The sequence below is a fragment of the Homo sapiens genome, chromosome 5 (genome assembly GCF_000001405.40).
Source record: "Homo sapiens chromosome 5, GRCh38.p14 Primary Assembly".
Classification (NCBI taxonomy): domain Eukaryota; kingdom Metazoa; phylum Chordata; class Mammalia; order Primates; family Hominidae; genus Homo; species Homo sapiens.
Genome location: NC_000005.10, coordinates 31,341,327 through 31,343,948, shown reverse-complemented (window position 1 = coordinate 31,343,948; position 2,622 = coordinate 31,341,327). Strand labels below are relative to the sequence as shown.

Here is a 2,622-nt window from a genome sequence, read left to right as displayed (position 1 = left end):
GTGTTGAATCTCTGCTGACTGTTTTCCAGGGGCCAAATATCTATGTCCAAGATTTTGATGTGGCTCAACCTTCTACTCTGGGCACAAGTGGTGGCCGTTCTTTCCAGTTTCTTCCGCCCGTCACATCATCCAGCCCAGCCGCCACCAACTCTCCATTAGGAAGGTCAGCCTGCACTCTTGGGGTCATGGCATAGTTGCTTCCAAGTAATTGTGCTTCCCTGGGACATGCTTCCTGCTTGCTCCACCATCCGTCCTTTTCTTTGATATGTGGCCTTCCAACTTGGAGGATGTTGCTGGGGTTTCCCCAAGACCTCCTGTACTTATTATCATCTTGTTCCACCTCAGCTGTAACTCTTTGAAGTTATGACATGTGGGGGAATTTTCTGTTGTTCAAGTGTTGACAGAACTTTTTCACCATTTTCAAAATCATTGTGTCACTATCACAAGGGGCCGGGCAGGAGGTGATATACTTTGTTCAAGTTGCCATCTTACCTCAAGCTTACCTCTTTCCCTTTTATCCTGACTTATTGGACTCCGATTCCTGGCTCTTGTTCATCGTTCTTGCAGCCTCTGCTTTTGGATCTTCTCTTCGGAGACACATTGACTTCTCCATCTGGCTCTCTGATTCTATGTTTTAATTGAACTCTCTACTCTGATCTTAATATACCTCTTCATACCACCAGGCCTTGGAGGAGAATCACTTCTTTTAGCTTTGTGTTTAGAAGGTGTGATAGGCTGAGTTTTAAGATGGCCCCTGTGGCCTTTGTTTCATTGTGTTACGCCTGTGATGTCACGGTACATACCAAAAGAGAGACAACCTGGGTGCGCCTCATCTTATCACGCAAGCCCTTTAAAAGCAGAGTTTTCTCTGATTGGTGGGAGAATAGAAAGTTAGAGAGATTTGCATCATGAGGATTCAGCACACCACTCCTAGCTTTGAAGATGGAGGGGGCCACATGCCCAGGAATGCAGGTAGCCTCTGAAAGCTGACACTCCTCCTCGGCTGACAGCCAGCATGTAAATGGGAACTTCAGTCCCACAGCGCAAGATTTTGACAAAGATCTGAATGAACTTTGAAGCAGATTCTTTCCCCAAACCTCCAGAGAAGAGCCCTGCCCAGCTGATCCCATGAGTGTGGGACCCTGAGCAAGGAACCTAGGCATGATGTGCCAGACTTCTGACCTACAGAAATGTGAGCTAATAAGCAGGTATTGTTTTAAGTCACTAAGTCCATGGCAGTTTTTACACAGCAATGGAAAACTAATGCATAAACATCACTCACTAGCTTAATATACTCCACAGAGAAAGCTGATGATGAATTTTGGATGGAAAGAAATCAGGGAACATTACAACACCTTGGCAAACCGATATAGGACATATTTTTTCTTCACACCTGCTCATTGTTCTCACAGTCACTAGAGCCAGTGGTCATCCTAGCCTTCTCTTCTCCCTCTTCCTCACCCTCAGTTAGTCAATGAGTTCTGGCATATATCCTTCCAAAATGCCTTCCCTATTTTTTATTCTCACTGAATGGTCTTATTTAGAAACCCTCATTACATTTTGATTAAATTACTATAACAGCCTTCTAACTCAGAGCTTTACTTTAATTCTCTAAATTGCTCTTGTTTTAAACTTTGTAGATCCCTAATTTGATTATGTCACTTTTCTGCTCTACCTCCTTCAAGGACGTCCTACAGCCTGCGGAAGAAAATTCAAACACCCTGGCATTGTGCTTCCAGCTCAACGTTTCCACACTAATCATTGGCTCTAGTCACACTAATCATTGGCTCTAGTCACACTAAATGACTTGCCTTTACTACAATGAAACTTTTTTTTCACTACTCTGTGCTTGGAAGGCTACTCTGCCAACTCCATCTGAAATGTTGCTATTCAAACTGAAGACTCAATTTGAATGTCATCTCTTCTCAAAAGGGTTTTATGGGTGAGACACTGACACTTCTCCCTCACAATCCCCTTCATTTTTAGAAAGTTGAGTACCCTAGGGCTTCTTTCCCCTTCATTACTCAGAGACCCTGGCAACCACTTTCCCAACAGACAGAGAGACCCTTGATTTAGACCAGGGTCGTGCAGATTTGTATCAGACAGGGTCCAGCCCAGGACCCAAAGTATAACTCAGTCTTTGTCGTTGTCTTAGGGGATAACCAGCTTTGAAGCAGATAGGGCAATTTGCATAGGAAACACAGAGTTGTCTGGGAAAGGTGGTCCAATTACCCCTCTATCTCCTTTCTTTGAAATTTGAGTTTGTGGAGATGCTGAGGTTTATAGGTTTGACCCAACAGGAGTCTAATGGCAGGAAAGGCAGCAATGCAGTTCACATAATGCTAGTTTGAGTCCAGACAGAGGGAACACTGGGGAGTGGGTGGCCTCCTTGAGGAGCCTTCACTTCTTTGGTAGCTAGTGAGGCAGGGACTTTGTCCCACCTGTGGTGCTTTGGACTTGATCTGCTGTCACCAACTTCTACTCAGCTAGAGCAGCTTTTGCATGTTGGAGATGGAGGACAGGACGCACTTCCCTCTGCTACCAGCATATTGGTGTTGGAGCATGGTGCTCTGGGATCTGCCTGTTGCCTGTTGTTTGCACCCCAAACCACTACTCATCATC

The 2,622-nt window shown here is 45.0% G+C and overlaps 1 annotated feature.

Moving 5' to 3' along the window:
- Positions 267-1,466: an enhancer, noted in NCBI's record as "BRD4-independent group 4 enhancer chr5:31342590-31343789 (GRCh37/hg19 assembly coordinates)". NCBI's record gives its function as "activates an origin of replication core promoter dependent on BRD2, P300/CBP, MED14 and CDK7 cofactors, and independent of BRD4, by STARR-seq in HCT116 cells {active_cell/tissue: HCT116}" and the evidence as "EXISTENCE:reporter gene assay evidence [ECO:0000049][PMID:35650434]".